The sequence below is a fragment of the Homo sapiens genome, chromosome 3 (genome assembly GCF_000001405.40).
Source record: "Homo sapiens chromosome 3, GRCh38.p14 Primary Assembly".
Lineage (NCBI taxonomy): Eukaryota > Metazoa > Chordata > Mammalia > Primates > Hominidae > Homo > Homo sapiens.
The window spans coordinates 136,967,206-136,987,365 of NC_000003.12; the positions used below are offsets into that span (position 1 = coordinate 136,967,206).

General features: G+C 43.9%; 1 protein-coding gene and 1 long non-coding RNA gene across 8 annotated transcripts in view; one reads left to right on the plus strand and one right to left on the minus strand.

The window, feature by feature from the left end:
- IL20RB-AS1 (IL20RB antisense RNA 1) overlaps positions 1 to 14,986 on the minus strand; it is a 36,206-nt gene extending 21,220 nt beyond the window's left edge. For 2 of the 3 annotated variants that reach the window (NR_183728.1, NR_183729.1), the window contains exons 1-2: positions 14,858 to 14,986; positions 12,313 to 12,645 (exon numbers count right to left, since the gene is read on the minus strand). This is a non-coding gene — a long non-coding RNA (IL20RB antisense RNA 1). The remainder of the gene's footprint in view (positions 1 to 12,312; positions 12,646 to 14,857) is intronic. The other variant, NR_183727.1, reaches the window with a different exon arrangement.
- Positions 1 to 20,160, plus strand: part of IL20RB (interleukin 20 receptor subunit beta) — a 53,103-nt gene that overhangs the window by 9,223 nt on the left and 23,720 nt on the right. For 3 of the 5 annotated variants that reach the window (NM_144717.4, XM_011512910.4, XM_006713665.5), the window contains exons 2-3: positions 13,261 to 13,387; positions 14,955 to 15,145. In NM_144717.4, the coding sequence (NP_653318.2) occupies positions 13,261 to 13,387; positions 14,955 to 15,145 (318 nt within the window). Of the gene's footprint in view, positions 1 to 13,125; positions 13,388 to 14,954; positions 15,146 to 20,160 lie in introns of all 5 variants that reach the window. The other 2 variants (XM_011512911.3, XM_017006632.1) reach the window with 1 other exon arrangement.

Here is a 20,160-nt window from a genome sequence, read left to right on the forward strand (position 1 = left end):
ATTAGGTCTGCTTGTGCAGAGCTGAGCTCAATTCCTGGGTATCCTTGTTGACTTTCTGTCTCGTTGATCTGTCTAATGTTGACAGTGGGGTGTTAAAGTCTCCCATTATTAATGTGTGGGAGTCTAAGTCTCTTTGTAGGTCACTCAGGACTTGCTTTATGAATCTGGGTGCTCCTGTATTGGGTGCATAAATATTTAGGATAGTTAGCTCCTCTTGTTGAATTGATCCCTTTACCATTATGTAATGGCCTTCTTTGTCTCTTTTGATCTTTGTTGGTTTAAAGTCTGTTTTATCAGAGACTAGGATTGCAACCCCTGCCTTTTTTTGTTTTCCATTGGCTTGGTAGATCTTCCTCCATCCTTTTATTTTGAGCCTATGTGTGTCTCTGCACGTGAGATGGGTTTCCTGAATACAGCACACTGATGGGTCTTGACTCTTTATCCAACTTGCCAGTCTGTGTCTTTTAATTGCAGAATTTAGTCCATTTATATTTAAAGTTAATATTGTTATGTGTGAATTTGATCCTGTCATTATGATGTTAGCTGGTGATTTTGCTCATTAGTTGATGCAGTTTCTTCCTAGTCTCGATGGTCTTTACATTTTGGCATGATTTTGCAGCGGCTGGTACCGGTTGTTCCTTTCCATGTTTAGCGCTTCCTTCAGGAGCTCTTTTAGGGCAGGCCTGGTGGTGACAAAATCTCTCAGCATTTGCTTGTCTATAAAGTATTTTATTTCTCCTTCACTTATGAAGCTTAGTTTGGCTGGATATGAAATTCTGGGTTGAAAATTCTTTTCTTTAAGAATGTTGAATATTGGCCCCCACTCTCTTCTGGCTTGTAGGGTTTCTGCCGAGAGATCCGCTGTTAGTCTGATGGGCTTTCCTTTGAGGGTAACCCGACCTTTCTCTCTGGCTGCCCTTAACATTTTTTCCTTCATTTCAACTTTGGTGAATCTGACAATTATGTGTCTTGGAGTTGCTCTTCTCGAGGAGTATCTTTGTGGCGTTCTCTGTATTTCCTGAATCTGAACGTTGGCCTGCCTTGCTAGATTGGGGAAGTTCTCCTGGATAATATCCTGCAGAGTGTTTTCCAACTTGGTTCCATTCTCCACATCACTTTCAGGTACACCAATCAGACGTAGATTTGGTCTTTTCACATAGTCCCATATTTCTTGGAGGCTTTGCTCATTTCTTTTTATTCTTTTTTCTCTAAACTTCCCTTCTCGCTTCATTTCATTCATTTCATCTTCCATTGCTGATACCCTTTCTTCCAGTTGATCGCATCAGCTCCTGAGGCTTCTGCATTCTTCACGTAGTTCTCGAGCCTTGGTTTTCAGCTCCATCAGCTCCTTTAAGCACTTCTCTGTATTGGTTATTCTAGTTATACATTCTTCTAAATTTTTTTCAAAGTTTTCAACTTCTTTGCCTTTGGTTTGAATGTCCTCCCGTAGCTCAGAGTAATTTGATCGTCTGAAGCCTTCTTCTCTCAGCTCGTCAAAATCATTCTCCATCCAGCTTTGTTCCGTTGCTGGTGAGGAACTGCGTTCCTTTGGAGGAGGAGAGGCGCTCTGTGTTTTAGAGTTTCCAGTTTTTCTGTTCTGTTTTTTCCCCATCTTTGTGGTTTTATCTACTTTTGGTCTTTGATGATGGTGATGTACACATGGGTTTTCGGTGTAGATGTCCTTTCTGGTTGTTAGTTTTCCTTCTAACAGACAGGACCCTCAGCTGCAGGTCTGTTGGAATACCCTGCTGTGTGAGGTGTCAGTGTGCCCCTGCTGGGGGGTGCCTCCCAGTTAGGCTGCTCGGGGGTCAGGGGTCAGGGACCCACTTGAGGAGGCAGTCTGCCCGTTCTCAGATCTCCAGCTGCGTGCTGGGAGAACCACTGCTCTCTTCAAAGCTGTCAGACAGGGACACTTAAGTCTGCAGAGGTTACTGCTGTCTTTTTGTTTGTCTGTGCCCTGCCCCCAGAGGTGGAGCCTACAGAGGCAGGCAGGCCTCCTTGAGCTGTGGTGGGCTCCACCCAGTTCGAGCTTCCCGGCTGCTTTGTTTACCTAAGCAATCCTGGGCAATGGCGGGCGCCCCTTCCCCAGCCTCGTTGCCGCCTTGCAGTTTGATCTCAGACTGCTGTGCTAGCAATCAGCGCGATTCCGTGGGCGTAGGACCCTCTGAGCCAGGTGTGGGATATAGTCTCGTGGTGCGCCGTTTCTTAAGCCGGTCTGAAAAGCGCAATATTCGGGTGGGAGTGACCCGATTTTCCAGGTGCGTCCGTCACCCCTTTCTTTGACTCGGAAAGGGAACTCCCTGACCCCTTGCGCTTCCCAGGTGAGGCAATGCCTCGCCCTGCTTCGGCTCGCGCACGGTGCGCACACACACTGGCCTGCGCACACTGTCTGGCACTCCCTAGTGAGATGAACCCGGTACCTCAGATGGAAATGCAGAAATCACCCGTCTTCTGCGTCGCTCACGCTGGGAGCTGTAGACCGGAGCTGTTCACCAGAGCTGTTCCTATTCGGCCATCTTGGCTCCTCCTCCCTCTCTAGATACTAGTTCTTTGTGAGATAGTGGTTTGCTGTTTTTTTTTCCACTTTGCAACTTGTCATCTCATCCTCTTAACATGGGCTTTTGCATAGCAAAAGTTTTTAATTTTGATAAAATTAAAATCATGGTTTTTCTTTTATGGATTTTGCTTTTGGTGTCACATCTAAGAACTTTTTGCCCAGCCCTGAAGATTTTCTCCTGTTTTTTCCTAAAAGTTTTAGAGTTTTATATTTTACATTTTTTTGCACAAGGTGTGAGGTTTAGATTGAGGTTTTGTTTGTTTGTTTGTTTGCCTGCAGATATCCAATTGTTCCAGTATTATTTGTTTAAAGCGTTTTTTTTGTTTTTTGTTTTTTTGTTTTTTTTTTAGACAGGGTCACACTCTGTCACCCCAGGCTAGAGTGCAATGCCTCAATCACAGCTCACTGCGGTCTCAACCTCCTGGATTCAGGTGACCTTCCACCTTAGCCTCTGAAGTAGCTGGGACTGTATTAGCTGAGACCACCACCCCTGGCTAATTTTTGTATTTTTTTATAGAGATAGCGTTTTGCCATATTGCCCAGGCTGGTCTCGAACTCCTGAGCTCAAGTGATTCACCTGCCTCAGCCTCCCAAAGTTCTGGGATTACAGGTGTGAGTTGCCATGCCAGGCCTAAAAGCCTATTGGATTTTAGGATTACTTTTGTCTGGAATTGTCAAAAAGCAGTTGAGCACATTTGTGTGGATTTATTTCTGGAATCTCTATTCTGTTTCATTGATCTTGGGTCTATTCCTTTGCCAATACAATATAGTTTTAATTACCATAAGTCCTGGAATTGGGTAGATTGATTCCTCTCACTTTATAATTAAAATGGTTTTAGTTATTCTAGTTTCCTTCCTTCCTTCCTTCCTTCCTTCCTTCCTTCCTTCCTTCCTTCCTTCCTTTTTTTGAGATGGAGTCTCGCTCTGTCATCCAGGCTGGAGTGCAGTGGTGCAATTTCAGCTCACTGCAACCTCCGCCTCCCAGGTTCAAGCGATTCTCCTGCCTCAGCCTCCCCAGTAGCTGGGACTACAGGCGTGTGCCACCACACCAGGCTAATTTTTTGTATTTTTAGTAGAGATGGGGTTTCACCGTGTTAGCCAGGATGGTCTCGATCTCCTGACCTCGTGATCCGCCCGGCTCGGCCTCCCAAAGTGCTGGGATTACAGGCATGAGACGCTGTGCCTGGCCTTATTTTCTATTTTCTTTATTTCACGTGGGGTAAATGTGAAATATTGTTACTGTATATAATGTATAGTGATAAATTCAGGGTACTTAGGAGAGTCATCACCTGAGTACAACACATTTTTGTTGACTATAGATAACCCTAGTCTGCTATCAGGTATTGAATTTATTCCTTCTAACTATATGTTTTGTTTTGTTTTTTTGAGACGGAGTCTCACTCTGTTGCCCAGGCTGGAGTGCAATGGCGCCATCTGGGCTCACTGCAACCTCTGCCTCCCAGGTTCAGGTGATTCTCCCGCCTCAGCCTCCCAAGTAGCTGGGACTATGGGCATGTGCCACCACACCCGGCTAATTTTTGTATTTTTAGTAGAGATGGGATTTCACCATGTTGGCCAGGCTGGTCTTGAACTCCTGACCTCAAGTGATCTGCCCACCTTGGCCTCCCAAAGTGCTGGGATTACAGGTGTGAGCCACCGCGCCCGGCCACTTCTATCTAACTGTATGTTTTTACCATTTAACCTACGTCTCTTCATCCTCCCACTCCCACCCCACTCACTCTTCCCAGTTTCTGTTATCTGTCTTTTCGCTCTCTACCTCTGTATGATAAAATCGTTTAGCTCCCACATGTAAGTGAGAACATATGATATTTGTTTTTTTGTTTCTGGCTTATTTCACTTAAGATACAGTTCAATTCACATTGCTGCCAATGACATGATTCCTTTCTTTTTATGACTGAATAAATAGTATTCCATTGTGTATATGTACCACATTTTCTTTATCCATTCATCCACTGATGGACACTTAGGTTGATTTCATATCTTTGCTATTGTGAGTAATGGTGCAATAAACATGAAAAGGGAGGTTTCCCTTTGACATATTGATTTATTTTCCTTTGGGTAGATACCCAGTAGTGGGGTGGCTGGATGGAATGGTAATTCTGTTTTTAGTTTTTTGAGAAATCTCCATACTGTTTTCCATAGTGGCTGTACTAGTTTACATTCCCACCAACAGTGTGTAAGAGTTCCCTTTTCTCTGCACCCTCATCAACGTTTGTTATTTTTTGTCTTTTTAGTAATAGCCATTCTGACCTGGGGTAAGATGACATCTCATTGAGGTTTCAATTTGCATTTCTCTGATGGTTAGTGATATTGAACATTTTTTCATATATCTGTTGGCCATTTGTATATCTTCTTTTGAGAAATGTCTACTTATGTCCTTAGCCCACTTTTGGGGATTTGTTTTTTAGTGTTGTTATTTGAGTTTTTTGTATATTCTGGATATTACTCTGTTGTTGGATGAATAGTTTGCAAATATTTTCTCCCATTCAACGGATTGTCTCTTCACTCAGCTGATTGTTTCCTTTGCTGTGCAGAAGCTTTTTAGTTTAATGCAGTCCCATTTGTCTCTGATTTTTGCAATAGTCTCAGGAGGATTGATATTAATTCTTCTTTGTATGTTTGGTAGAATTCAGCTGTGAATCCATCTAATCCTGGGCTTTTCTTTGTTGGGAGACTTATTATTGATTCAATCTTGCTACTCATTATCCATCGTTAAGGTTTTCTTTTTCTTCCTGATTCAATCTTGGTAGGTTGTTTGTGTCCAGGAATGATCCATTTCTTCTAGGTTTTCCAGTTTGTCAGCTTATAGTTGTTCATAACAGTCTCTGATGATTTTATGTGGTATCAGTTGTGACATCTTCTTTTTAATTTCTGATATTCTTTATTTGGGTTTCCTCTCTTCTTGATTAGTCTAGCTAGTGGTTTTAAGATTAACTTTGTTAATCTTTTTGAAGAAAAATTTTTTTTTTTCATTTTCTTGATGTATTTTTTTTAGTCTCTATTCCATTAAATTCTGCTCTGATCTTTATTATTTCCTTTTTTCTCCTAATTTTGGGTTTGCTTTGTTCTTGCTTTTCCAGTTCCTTGAGATGCATTGTTAGATTGTTAATTTTTAATCTTTCTACTTTTTCAATGTAAGCATTTATTGATATAAATGTCCCTCTTATTACTGCTTTTGATATATCCCACAGATTTTGCTATGTTGTGTTCGATTTTTATTTGTTTCAAGAAATTTGAAAATTTCCATGTTAGTTTCTTTGTTGACCCAATGGTCATTCAAGATCATGTTGTTTAATTTCCATGTACTTAAACTGGACTTTACACCAGTTTAAGTTTTTCTTGGTGTTGGTTTCTAGTTTTATTCCATTGTGCTCTGAGAAGATGCTTGATAGGATTTTGATTTTTAAAAATTTGTTGGCTGGGCGCAGTGTCTCACGCCTGTAATCCCAGCACTTTGGGAGACCAAGATGGGTGGATCACAAGGCCAGGAGATAGAGACCATCCTGGCTAACAGGGTGAAACCCTGTCTCTACTAAAAATACAAAAAAAAAAAAAAAATTATCCGGGCATGGTGGCGCATGCCTGTAATCCCAGCTACTCAGGAGGCCGAGGCAGGAGAATTGCTTGTACCCAGGAGGCGGAGGTTGCAGTGAATCTCAAAAAAAAAAAATTGTTGACACTCGTTTTGTGACCTAACATATGGTTTATTCTGGAGAATATTCCATGGGCTGATGAAAAGAATATATATTCTGCAGTTGTTGGATATAATGTTCTGTAAATATCTGTTAGGTCCATTTGGTCTAAAGTCCAGTTTAAGTACAATGTTTCTTTGTTGATTTTCTGTCCAGATGATCTGTCTAATGCTGAGAGTGGGGTGTTAAAGTCCCCCATCCCCAGTCATTATATTGTAGTCTTTCTCTTTAGATCTAGTAGTATTTGCTTTAAGACTCTGGGTGCTCCAGTATGGGGTGCATATATATTTAGAATTGTTATAACTTCTTGCTGCATTGATCCATTTATCACTATATAGTAACCTTCTTTGTCTTTTTTTAATTGCTTTTGACTTGAAGTCTATCTTATTTGATATAAGTATAGCTACTGCTCCTTGCTTTTGGTTTTCATTTGTGTGGAGAATATTTTTCCATCCCTTTTAGTCCATATATGTCTTTACTGGTAAGGTGAATTTCGTGTAAGCAGCATATAGTCGGAACTTTTTTTTTATTTATTCAGCCATTTTATATCTTTTAAATGGAGAATTTAATCCACTTATATTCAAGGTTATTAATATGTGAGGTTTTTTCCTGTCATATTGTTAATTTTTTTTCTGTTTGTTTTACATATTATTTAGTGTTTTCTTTTTCTCCTATTGTTCATTGTGTTTTAGTGGATTTCTGTAGTGGTACCATTTGAGTCCTTTCTCTTCCTCCTTTGTGTGACTGCTTTACCTATGAGTTTTATACTTTCATGTGATTTCATAATGGTAAATGTTATTATTTCAATTTCAGGTTTAGGACTCCCTTGAACATTTCTTGTATGTCTGGTCTAGTGATAACAAATTCCCTCAATATTCGTTTGTCTGTTAAAGACTATTTCACTTTGATTTATGAAGGATGATTTTGCCAGATGTAATAGTCTTGGCTAGCAGGTTTTTCTTTTTTTCCTTTCAGCACTTTAAATATATCATTCCATTCTCTTCTGGCCTATGCGATTTCTGCTGAGAAATCCACTGATGGGGTTTCCATCAGACTAGATGCTTTTTTTCTAGCTGTTTTTAGGGTTTGCTCTTTATCTTTGACTTCAGACAGTCTAACTATAATGACCATTTTACATTGTATCTCTCTGGACATCATGAGCCTCCTGTAACTAGATGTCTAAATATCTTGCTAGACATAGGATGTTTTAACATATTATTTGGTTAAATAGGCTTTTTAGTCCTTCTGTTCTTTCTTTCCCCTTAGGGATACTGATAATACATAAATTCAATTGCTTTGTGTTATCTCAAATGTCACGAAGCTTTTGCTCATTCTTTTTAAAAACTTTTGACTGGATTATTTCAAAAGACCTGTCTTCAAGTTCTGAGATTCTTTCTCCTGCTCGATCTAGTCTATTGTTGAAGCTTTCAAATGTATTTTGTATTTCTTTCAATGAGTGTTCAGTTTCAGAATTTCTATTGGTTCTTTTAAAAAATATCTATCTCTTTGGAAATTTCTCATTTATATTCTGAATTGTTTTTCTGATTTCTTTTTATTGTTTTTCCAAATTCTCTTGTATCCCACTGAGCTTCTTTAATATCAGTGTGTTTAATAATTCCTTCTCTGGGATTTCAAAAATTTCTTTTTGATTAAGGTCTATTGCTGGAGAATTGTGTTCCTTTGGAGATGTCATATGTCCTTGCCTTTTCATGTTTCTTGTGTTCTTATGTTGATATCTGCACATCTGGTATAACAGTTTCTTCTTCCCATTTTTGAATTTACTTCCATAGGGGAGGATGTTTTCCTGAAGATGTATCTGTGGTGTTCATTGGCTACAGCATTTGGCATTTATTTATTTATTTTTATTTTTATTTATTTTTTTGAAATGGAGTCTCGCTCTCTTGCCAGGCTGAAGTGCAGTGGTGCAATCTTGGCTCACTGCAACCTCTGCCTTCCGGGTTCAAGCAATTCTCCTGCCTCAGCCTCCCGAGTAGCTGGGACTACAGGCACACACCACCATGCCCAGCTAATTTTTGTATTTTTAGTAGAGATGGGGTTTCACCATGTTAGCCAGGATGGTCTTGATCTCTTGACCTCATGATCCACCTGCCTCTGCCTCCCAAAGTGCTGGGATTACAGGCATGAGCCGCTGCACCTGGCCCATTTTTGCTTTTATTCTGGGTACTTTGGCTGCAGCGTTAGTAGTATATGTGATTTCATCAGTGGGTTAGGGTACAGTTATTGGAGTCTGTGGTGAAGTTGTGCTGTGGGATGCCAGATGGGCTGGTCTACAGGCCCCAATTGTGGCAGTGGTGGTCTGAGTATGCCTGTCCGTGTTTCCCAGGGTTATGTATGCGGGCACTGGTGTTGGTGGTTACCAGAATGCTGATCATTGGGCCTCCACATGGCTTGCTTGGATGCTGGCAGTGGTAGTGGTGGACTGGGCAAGGAGGTGGGTTCTTGGGGCCCTGGACAGCTAGCATGGCACAAGTGATGGCAGTAGCAGTGGCAGGATAATTATCTGGGTTCCGAGAGTTGTCCTTTTATGATGGCAGTGGGTGTGACAGAGTGTGTAGGACAGTCTCCAGGACTGCAGGTGGTACTTGCAAGTAGGTGCCAGTTGAGGTGATGGCAGCTGAGAGTTTAGGCCCAACCTCAGGACCCCAGAAGGAGTACTAAGGTGCCCAAGGTGCCCTTGTCACCCTCCAAGGCCCTGGCCTATGTGCTGTGTCTCAGAGAAGGGAGTGAAGCTGGGTTGGGTGGGCTTGTGCTCAGGCCCTTCAATGGTGGGAGCAGGCAGCAGTCATGGTGGGTAGGGGTCAGGGCAATCCTCAGGTCTCAGGTGGAATGCATGGGTGAGGAGTGGTAGTAGCCATGCTGAGGTCCTCCCACTGGAGAAGGTGGGGCTGACCTCTGTGGCTACAGCCTGGGCCAGTAGGTGGGGAATATGCACCTGTCTCATGCTTCACAGCCCTGGCGGGGCTTACCCCCCAGCCCTGGCAGCAGCCAGCCACACCTAGCTTGAGCCCTTACCTTGCTGCAGGAGTCCCCACCAGCTTGTGACTAAGTCCCAGTGGCAACTTGTGCCTGTTTTCCTCCCAGTCTCAGCCCCGGCAGCACTCACTTCCCAGCATTGTCAGCTGCAGCCCATGCCTCATTTGATTCTCAGTCTCAGCTGTGGGAGCTCATTCCCAGTTTGTGCCCCAGTCTCAGCAGCAATAGCCTGAGTTTCCCTAATGCTTCAGTCTTGGTGCTGCTGGCCACCAGGATAGCATGTGCATCTGCCAAAGACTAGGATTTAAAATGGTGCCTTGCTGTAACTGTTTGGGTCTCAGAAAAAGTGTGGGACGCAGCATGAGTTCCCTTCCTGGGACAATTTTGTCCCCCAATCTACTGGCAGCTCCCTATGTATGTTTTCAGGGCTTAGGAGGGTTGAGGAATTCTCTCACGGTCAGGACTACATGATTCCATGGTGGGAATGAGGGCCACCAGAAGTCTCTCACTTACTCTGCCCACATTGAGAAGTCACTCTTGGCTGCCAGCTGATCCTAGCCAAGCAGGCTGCCTCTCCTCCTCCTTCCTTGCTTTTGGTGTTTCCTGTAACTTTTCTGTTGAGTTCCAGTGTTTTCTTTTGGATAATGTATTCAAAGTGTGACTGTATATACATGATTTCGGTTCTTCTAAGTGGAGGAGGTAAGCATGAAATGCTTCTGGTCAGCCATCTTGAAGCCCCTCCCCCTCCTTTTATGTATTATAGTTCCTTTGACTTTTCTTATAAAATTTAGGAAAAACTTATCTATATTAACAAAAAGCTTGCTGAACTATTGATAGGAATTGCATTAAACCTATATACAATTTGGGGGAGAATTGGCATCTTAACTGTTGAATCTTCTAATGCATGAACACAGTATGTCTCTCCATTTATTTAAATCTTCTTTGATTTCATTTAGCATTGTGGAGTTTTCCCTGAGTATATTTTGTCAGATTTACACCTATTTTTTTAGTGATTATAATTTTAATTTCTGTGTATGTGTTTGTTGCTGGTATATAGAAATATAATTTTTTTTTGAGATGGAGTCTTGCTCTGTTGCCCAGGCTGGAGTGCGGTGGTGCAATCTCAACTCACTGCAACCTCCACCTCCTGGGTTCAAGCGATTCTCCTGCCTCAGCCTCCTGAATAGCCAAGATTACAGGCACGCACTACCACGCCCAGCTAATTTTTCTATTTTTAGTAGAGATGGGGTTTTGCCATGTTGGCCAGGCTGGCCTCGAACTCCTGAGCTCAGGCGATCTGCCTGCCTTGGTCTCCCAGAGTGCTGGGTTTACAGGCGTGAGCCACCAGGCCTGGCCTGGTTTTAGATTTTTTTTTAAGATTCTGTGGGACTTTTCTACATGTGGGAGAGCATATCATGTCATTTGCATATAGGGCAAGTTTTACTACTTCTTTTATAATCTATATTTCTTTTACTTATTTTGCTTGCCTTATTACAGTGGCTAGAACTTTCAGTAGTATGTTGAATAAGAGTGGTAAGAGTGGACATTCTTGCCTATTCCTGATCTTGGAGAGGAAGCATTCAGTCCTTCACCATTAAGTAAGATGTTAGCTGTAGGTTTTTTGTAGATGGTCTTTATCAAGTTGTGGTAACTCCCTGCCTGCTCTTAACTTGAAGAGAGTTTTTGGTTCTGTCTTGTTTTTTTTTTTTTTTTTGAGATGGAGTCTTGCTCTGTCACCCAGGCTAGAGTGCAATGGCTTGATCTTGGCTCACTGCAACCTCCGTCTCCCAGGTTCAAGCAAGTCTCCTGCCTCAGCCTCCCAAGTAGCTGGGATTACAGGTGAGTGCCACCACACCCAGCTAATTTTTCTATTTTTAGTAGAGACTGGGTTTCACCATGTTGGTCAGGCTGGTCTCGAACTCCTGACCTCAGCTGATCCGCCTGCCTCGGCCTCCCAAAGTGCTGGGATTATGGTGTGAGCCACCGCACCTGGCCTGTTTTGTCTTGTTTTTCATAATGAATGGATGTGGGTTTTGTAAATCCTTTTTCTGTGTCAATTGATATGATTTATGATTTTATTCTTTAGTTTATCGACATGGTAAATTACATTAACTGATTTTCAAATGTTGAACCAGCCCTGCATACCTAGAACAAATCCCACTTGGTTATGGTATATAGTTCTTTTTGTACATTACTGAATTTGGATTGCTATATTTTGTTGAAGATTTTTGTCTAAGTTCATGAGATATATTTTTATGTAGTTTATGTATATATTTTCCTCATCTGATTTTGGTATCATGGTAATACTGGCCTCATAAAGTAAGCTGGAAACTGTTCTTTCCTATTCTATGTTTTAGAGGAAATTGCATTTTGTTGATGTTGTCATCTTTAAATGTTTGGTAGAATTTTCCATTAAAACCATCTGTGCCTGGAGATTTCATTTTTGAGAGCTTTAAAGTTATATAATTAAATTACATTAATTAATAAATTGATTTGTTGACATAATTTAATTATGTAATTAAATTAGTTATATAAAATGTAGCTTTGTATTTATATAGGTTTATATTCCCCAAATAGCTGGCTAGAGAATTTTTTTAAAACTTTACCAGAGGAAGGTGTCAGAGGGGACCATTCCTTGTCCTCCTGTACCACTCTACCCCTTTTCCTTTCCATCCCTTGGGTGATTTCAAGCTTAGGGGTGGGTGGGGGTCAGGAAGACTGCCTTGTGGGTGCTCCAGGTGTTTCCCCACAGAACAGACCATGGATGCTGAGGGTGAGATGGAGGTGCATCACTAGGGCCCTACATTAGAGAAAGGGCAGGGAAACCAGGTGGGGTGTCCCCAGCAGCCTTCCATCCCTTTGTGGTCACAGGGCTTGATAACAAACAGCAGGTGCCAATCTGGAGATAGGCACAGAGATGAAAAGTCCCAAATGAGGACTCCAGCCCCACCCCCACTATGCTGTAGATGCTATCACTGCACTGTAACAGCAAAGGGAGGCAGGTGTTGGGCATTTAAACAGGAACATAGCAGAGAGTTCAGACTGTACCTTTGGGTGACATGTGAGGATGAAGTTTTTGGCTTTGTGACTGCCCAAAGTCCTTATGAGCAGGTTCAGCTTCATAGGCCTCTTTCATTCTCTACAAATCATAGTCCCACTGTGTGCATACTCTGGGCACACTGTGTCTGGGTACACTCGGGGCATACTTGTGTCCCAGACTGGCTCAGGGGCCTGCAGTCTTTCCGGGGTGGACTCACAGAGCTGGCTTGGTGTCCCACTTGAATGGACTCTCTCCACAGCAGATCTGAGCCTGTACTTCCCACCTGGCAACTGATGACCCATTTGGCCTTGTTGAGGGACATGAAACGATTGCTTTGGCATCTGAGGATGGCAGTAGCAGGAGAGGGAGGTGATGAGAATGTTGCAGTAGTCTGCATTGGTTTTCCATGAATGATTAAGAGGCTCACGTTTATGCAACTTGCTTAAAGCCACATAGTAAGTGGCAGAGTCACTGGATCCTAGCCAGTCTAACAGAAGAGTCATAAATAATGTGACTCAGTTTTCTCATTTGTACAATGGAAAAACTAATGGTCTTTACCTCCCAGTATGGTCATGAGAATTCAATAAGACAGTCATGTAACAATCCAGCACATGGTCTAGATAGAACATGGTAAGTATTAGATAAATATTAGTCATTATTATTATTAATATTGATATGTCATTTATCAACAAAGTCAGAATTATAATGGTGGTACCCAAAATTTAGTGTTAACATAAGCATGATAAAATTAGAGTTGTTTCTGGTTTATAAACATGTGAGGCTTTTTTTTTTTTGAGACAGAGTCTCATTCTGTTGTCTAGGCTGGAGTGCAGTGGTGCAATCTCAGCTTACTGCAACCTCCGCCAGTGAGGCCCTTCATTAGACACTAATTTGAAGCTATGGCATTCCCCCACTATGAGCCCACCTGTCAGCCAGGCTATCTGCCTTGATCCTAGATGAAGTGGCCATTCTGCCTGCCCCTCAGAACCTCTCTGTACTCTCAACCAACATGAAGCATCTCTTGATGTGGAGCCCAGTGATCGCGCCTGGAGAAACAGTGTACTATTCTGTCGAATACCAGGGGTGAGTTTTTTCTTTTAATAGTTCTTCTCCCTTAAGCAGAAGTTGGTTCCTGAAGGCATAGCCCTTCCTCCTGAGCCCAAGGTGGCTTTTTGAGTCCAGGGATAGATTATCCCCAAAGATCTACCCCCTCTGTCTGCATAGGCATTGAAAGAGTTGAAGAAGCAAGGGAAATTGTTCTGTGGATTTGACAGTGAACTCTCTGGGAAGATGAATGTGCATAACACATTTTGGTGGAGTTATTTTAAAAAGTGAATCAACTGTCCAATGGGTTTGACTCTGACTTGAGATGGATAAATCACTGGAGACTCAGATCCTTTAAGGGTGGAGGAGTCCTCACTTTTCCTGACTATAAGCTTATACCTAGAGCCAAAACGAACTATAATCCTAAAGGTCAGCTGGCCCTGGGGCTGAGCAGGCTCTAGTCTTCTCCAGGTGTTCAGGTGCTTGCAGCTATTGAATAGTGATAAGGACACAGAAATTGCTCCATATATTTCATTAACAATGAATACAGACTGAACACCTACATGTGTAGACATTCTTCTAGGCTCAGGGATACAGTTGACAAGGTTTCTGGATTTTGAGAGCTTACATCTAGAGGAGGATACAGATGATAAATATACTAGGCCAGCATTCTCTAGTATGGTAGCCACCAGCCACAGCTGGCTATTTAAATTTAAATTAAATTAAATTAAATTAAATTAAATTAAAATGTCTGTTTCCTGCCACACTAGTCACATTTTAGGTGTTCAATAGCCACATGTGGCCAGTGGTTACCATATTGAACAACATCGATTTAGAATATTTGCATCATCACAGAAAGTTTATTTTTGGAAAGCACTGCTCTAGGGAATTTTGGATAGTAATCAGTGCTAGGAGGAAGCTAAAAGGCTGATGCCATAGAGAGTTGACACTGAGGCTCCTTTATATTAGATGGCCTGGGATGGCCTCTCTGAGGAGGTGATATTTATGCCATATCTGAAGGACAAGAGGAGCCAGCCATGCGAACAGCAGGGGCAGAGCGTTTGAGATGGAGTGAACAGTTAGTCAAAGGTCCTAAGGCAAAAAGTGCTCAGCATTTTGGAGAAATGACCAATGTGGCAAGAATATCACGCTTCGGAGCAGAGTGAGAGAGAAGGCCAAAGCATCTTGTAAGACCACTGGCAAGAGTTTGGATCCCATTCTAAGTCCTGTAGGAAGCCATTAAGGAGAGAAACGTCACAATCTGCTGAGTGGTGAATGGTTTTGAGAATGGCAGGTGTCCAAGCTGGGAGATCACAGCAAGGCAAGGAATGACAGTGGCTGAGATTAGGGTGATGACCCTGGAGATGAAGAGATAAAAGAGATCCAGACACATTGATGTTTATGCCTAGCTTTCCCTATCTGGCAATAAAAGGAGTAAGGGACGATGGATGGTTGGTAGGGAGGAGAGTGGAGGAGCTAGGATAATGAGAAAGTACTTATTTTACTTACCTGTACAAAGTAGGTGAACGAAGTCAGTTACTTGCAACCATAACTGAGCCTGTGTCAGAGGGGCTGGTGTAACTCTGTGCCCTCCTCTCTTTGACAGGGAGTACGAGAGCCTGTACACGAGCCACATCTGGATCCCCAGCAGCTGGTGCTCACTCACTGAAGGTCCTGAGTGTGATGTCACTGATGACATCACGGCCACTGTGCCATACAACCTTCGTGTCAGGGCCACATTGGGCTCACAGACCTCAGCCTGGAGCATCCTGAAGCATCCCTTTAATAGAAACTCAAGTAAGGCACTTCTCTCCTTACACTCCCACCCCAACCAGCCCCTCCTTTAGGAACCATGTTCACCTAAACTTTCTAGACTCTTTTTAGCATCAGAATAGTCCTGCAAAGCCAGAGTATTGTGAACACAAACAACCCTTACTGGTATATTTGAAAAATTGCCAACTGCTTTCTACATGCTGCTCTCTGTCATGCCCTTTGACTACTCAAGTCATTCCTGACTGTCTGTGTCAGGGTGTGCAGGTGTTGGGGATGCTGACATTGGGAACCTGGAAGGAAAGCTGCTCTGGAAGTGAAGAGGTGGCACCAGGACTGCTGCTCCCTACTCTGATTGTGCCTCCATAAATTGTGCCTCCCACTTGAGGCCTCATTAACTGCATATTTACTGCCCACGTAAGCAGCTTTGTTGTGCAAGAGGATTTATACACTTAACAGAGCCACCAGAAAATTGCCCTTCTGTAATGACTTCTGTGGGAAATAAATAACTTTTCTTTTGGAGTAGTACCTGGAAAAGGATTGAGAAAGAAGTAATAGAGGAATCCAGATAGGTGGCCAAATGTGGCTGAGTACAAGCACTGGTCATTGTATAAAAGGACATGTGTGTTTGCGGAACAGGAGAGGCAAGGGCTGATGGGCAGGGGGTAGGGAAGCAGTTGATCATGTGGTGAAGGGCTTTGACACGAAGCTTGACCAAGTCAGTAGAGGGTAGCCAATGAAAGAGGAGAGGATCTAGACCAGGTCTATCTCTTTTTTTTTTTGATACGGAGTCTCACTCTGTCACCCAGGTTGGTGTGCAGTGGCGTGATCTCAGCTCACTGCAACCTCTGTCTCCTGGGTTCAAGTGATTCTCCTGCCTCAGCCTCCTGAGTAGCTGGGACTACAGGCGTGCACCACCATGCCTGGCTAATTTTTGTATTTTTAGTAGAGACAGGGTTTCACTATGTTTTCCAGGCTGGTCTGGAACTCCTGACCTCAAGTCATCTGCCCACTTCGGCCTCCCAAAGTGCTGGGATTACAGGCATGAGCCATGGCGCCCGGCCGACCAGGTCTATCTTACAAAGCAACACTCTGGCTGCTGTGTGGAAAGTGAACCAGAGTAGGGCAAGCCTGCAGGACAGGGGAAGAGTGAGGAGGGGGTTGTAATACTCCTACTGATCCCAAGAGTTTGGAAGGGGATGGGAAGGAGATGATGAATCCAAGAAACATGGCTGATTTAGAAAGGACAGAGCTTAGGAATCAAGTTTGTGGGGACAGAAAAGGGAGAGATAATGATAGTATTCAGCTGTCAAATGGAATTGGTGAGAACACCAGCTAAGGCAAATAACCCAGGGGGAAACAACTGGTCTTGAAGAATAGGAGACACCCCCGGCTTTGAGACTGAGATTTCTACAAGATGTCATCTTGTGGATGTCTGACTGGCAGCTGGAAATCAGTCCCTGAGGCTTAGAAAGCTCAAAGGCAGATACATAACACAAAGTGGTTTTGTTTGTTTGTTTGTTTTGTTTTTGAGGTGGAGTCTTGCTCTTTTGCCCAGGCTGGAGTGCAGTGGTGCCAACACAGCTCACTGCAGCCTTGCCCTCCTGGGCTCAAGCGATCCTCCTGCCTCAGGCCCCCAAGAAGCTGGGAATACAGGCACATGCCACCATGCCTGACTAATTTTTTTGTATTTTTGGTAGAGATGGGGTTTCACCATGTTGCCCAGGCTGGTCTCGGACTCCTGAGCTTAAGTGATCCTCTTGCCTCAGCCTCACGAAGTGCTGGGATTATAGGAATGAGCCATCGCACAGGGCCATCACAAAGTTAACAGCTAAAGGCTTGGAAGTAGACGAGACTGTTTAGGGACAAGACGCTGAAGATAAAGAGAGGACAAGGTCCTGGAAAACCTCAGACTTTAAAATGTGGATGGAGGGAAGGGCACCAGGGTAGAGGATAATGGAAAGGAGAATAGAACAGCTCCTGAGAGGCTGGAGGAAGCCCCTGGATGGGCCCTTGAGAAAGTAACTTCATGGAGTGGAAAGGATGACCATCTGGCTGCTGGAGTGGAGGATTGCATGGAGGTAGGAAGGAGCAAGGAATGGGTGGGAATGTAACCAGTTTAGAGCTGCAGGAAAGGCAAGATAAGGGTCTTCTTTGGTCTCTGTTTTCGTGATGTGGCAGAAGAGCTTCTGTTGTGAAAGATGGTGGAAGAAGGTTTGGGGCAGAATTTGCAGCATTCGGATGAGTCAAAATTTACTGAGGAATGTATGATATTAGGTGGAAATTAGGAAGGTTTAGAAGAAGAGGAGCCCAAGCTGAAGAGCAGAGGAGGGAAGGGATGGGGCAGGAATAGGACCATTGGAATGGGATACCAAAAGGAATTTTGGTGCAGATTGTGGGCTCCTTTGCCCAGGCCTCCTTCCCAGGCACCAGGACTGGAATGGAATGGAATGGAATGACTTCATGGAATGGAGAGGATGATCATCTGGCTGAATTTGGTCCAAGAGGAGTTGGTCGAAGTGGCAGGATCTGGGGGAGATTAAGGGGCCCTGTAGGGCACTGCAAAACTGCCACTACCTGCAGTGCCCAGGCAGCATTCAGCACCACCTCCCTCTGGCTCCTAAGAGCATGGGGATCCAGCCAAGACCATTGCTGGGGGCTGGCAGCTGTTGCTGGAAAGCAGGCATGGGTCACATAAAGATAAGGGAGTGCCTACAAAACTATGTGGGTGGGGATGTGCTGTAAAACCTTGTACTTACGAAGGCCTGTATAAACAGGAAAAGAGCTTGCTGCAGGGGCAGCTGAGGAACAGGAGTCTGTACTTGCATCAGAAGATGGAAGATACGGTTCTATGATATCCAAGCAAATAGGCTGGGATGGTGTCATGATCTCTTAAGGGCATTAAGTTTGTCCTCTTCCATTTGAAAAAGGCCACTCAGACTTCTCCCCAGGAATGTGAAAAATCTTGATTTAAGGCTCTCCTGAAAAGGATCCCTACTGTCTCTCTCTCTCTCTTTTTTTTTTTTTTTTTGAGATGGAGTTCCGCTCTTGTTGCCCAGGCTGGAGTGTAATGGCATGATCTTAGCTCACTGCAACCTCCACCTCCTGGGTTCTAGCGTTTCTCCTGCCTCAGCCTCCCAAGTAGCTGGGATTACAGGAATGTGCCACCATGCTTGGCTAATTTTGTATTTTTAGTAGAGACAGTGTTTCACTATGTTGGCCAGGCTGGTCTCGAACTCCTGACCTCAGGTGATCCGCCCACCTCAGCCTCCCAAAATGCTGGGATTACAGGTGTGAGCCGCTACGCCTGGCTGAGGGTCCCCACTCTTAAAGGGAAACTTTTTATTGAGAGCAGAGGTTTTTAACTTTGCACATTTGAGTCACAGGGGAGCTTTAGAATCAATTATGCCTGGGGCTCTTCCCCAGAGAGTCTGGTTTAAATGATCTGCATGCATCTTATTCACTGGGAGTTTAAAATTCTCCCCAGATTATTTTCATGTACAGCCAGGGTTGAGATCCACTAGCAAAGAGGCTAAACACCCCACACAAGGGAGGTAGAAATGTAGAAAGAAATGGGCTCAAATTCTGTAGATTAACTCTGTGACTCTGGGCATGTCACTTAATCTCTCTGTAAAACAGGAACAATGTTAGGCTGGGCATGGTGGCTCATGCCTGTAATCCCAGCACTTTGGGAGGCCAAAGCCAGTGGATCACGAGGTCAGGAGATCAAGACCATCCTGGCTAACACAGTGAAACCCCGTCGCCTGTAGTCCCAGCTACTCCGGAGGCTGAGGCAGGAGAATGGTGTGAACCTGGGAGGCGGAGCTTGCAGTGAGCCAAGATCGGGCCACTGCACTCCAGCCTGGGCGACAGAGCGAGACTCCATCTCAAATAAATAAATAAATAAATAAATAAATAAATAAATAAATAAATAAAAATAAAACAGGAACAATGTTTACCTTCTAAAGCTTCCTGGGCAGATTAAATGAGATAAGCATGCAGAAGGCATAGGACAGAGGTTCCTGCCCCAACGCTGTCAAACAACTCTTCTCTGAACTGAAACTTCAGATTATTTTCTCTAATTCTGGTCTCAATAAAGATGGAGATCAGAAGACCCAATTCTGATGACATCTGACAGAAAAGTTGAGGAGTCAAATATCTGTTTCCCTTCTGAAGGTGTTTCAGAGGTAGTGCTAGTGGTGCTATGTGGTCATATGAACCTCAGGACTGAGTGTGTTTTGCACAGTTGGCCCTGGCTTCCCAAGTCCTCCTGACCCCTGTCCAGGTAGCTCTTCAACAAGCAGGCATAAACACTTCTCTGATGAGGGACGCGATGGGGAAAGGCTTTGTTCTCTGAAAACTCCCTGTAGGAACTGCCTTTCTTCTGAGTGTCCACTTGTGTCCGGAATTGGTGGGTTCTTGATCTCACTGACTTCAAGAATGAAGCCGCAGACCCTCGCGGTGAGTGTTACAGCTCTTAAGGTGGCGCGTCTGGAGTCTGTCCCTTCTGATGTTCGGATGTGTTCAGAGTTTCTTCCTTCTGGTGGGTTCCTAGTCTCGCTGGCTCAGGAGTGAAGCTGCAGATCTTCACGGTGAGTGTTACAGCTCTTAAGGCGGCGCGTCTGGAGTTGTTCGTTCCTCCTGGTGGGCTCGTGGTCTCGCTGGCTTCAGGAGTGAAGCTGCAGACCTTCGCGGTGAGTGTTACAGCTCATAAAAGCAGTGTGGACCCAAAGAGTGAGCAGTAGCAAGATTTATTGCAAAGAGCGAAAGAACAAAGCTTCCACAGTGTGGAAGGGGACCCGAGCGGGTTGCCACTGCTGGCTCGGGCAGCCTGCTTTTATTCTCTTATCTGGCCCCACCCACGTCCTGCTGATTGGTAGAGCCCAGTGGTCTGTTTTGACAGGGCGCTGATTCGTGCGTTTACAATCCCTGAGCTAGACACAAAGGTTCTCCACGTCCCCACCAGATTAGTTAGATACAGAGTATAGACACAAAGGTTCTCCAAGGCCCCACCAGAGTAGCTAGATACAGAGTGTCGATTG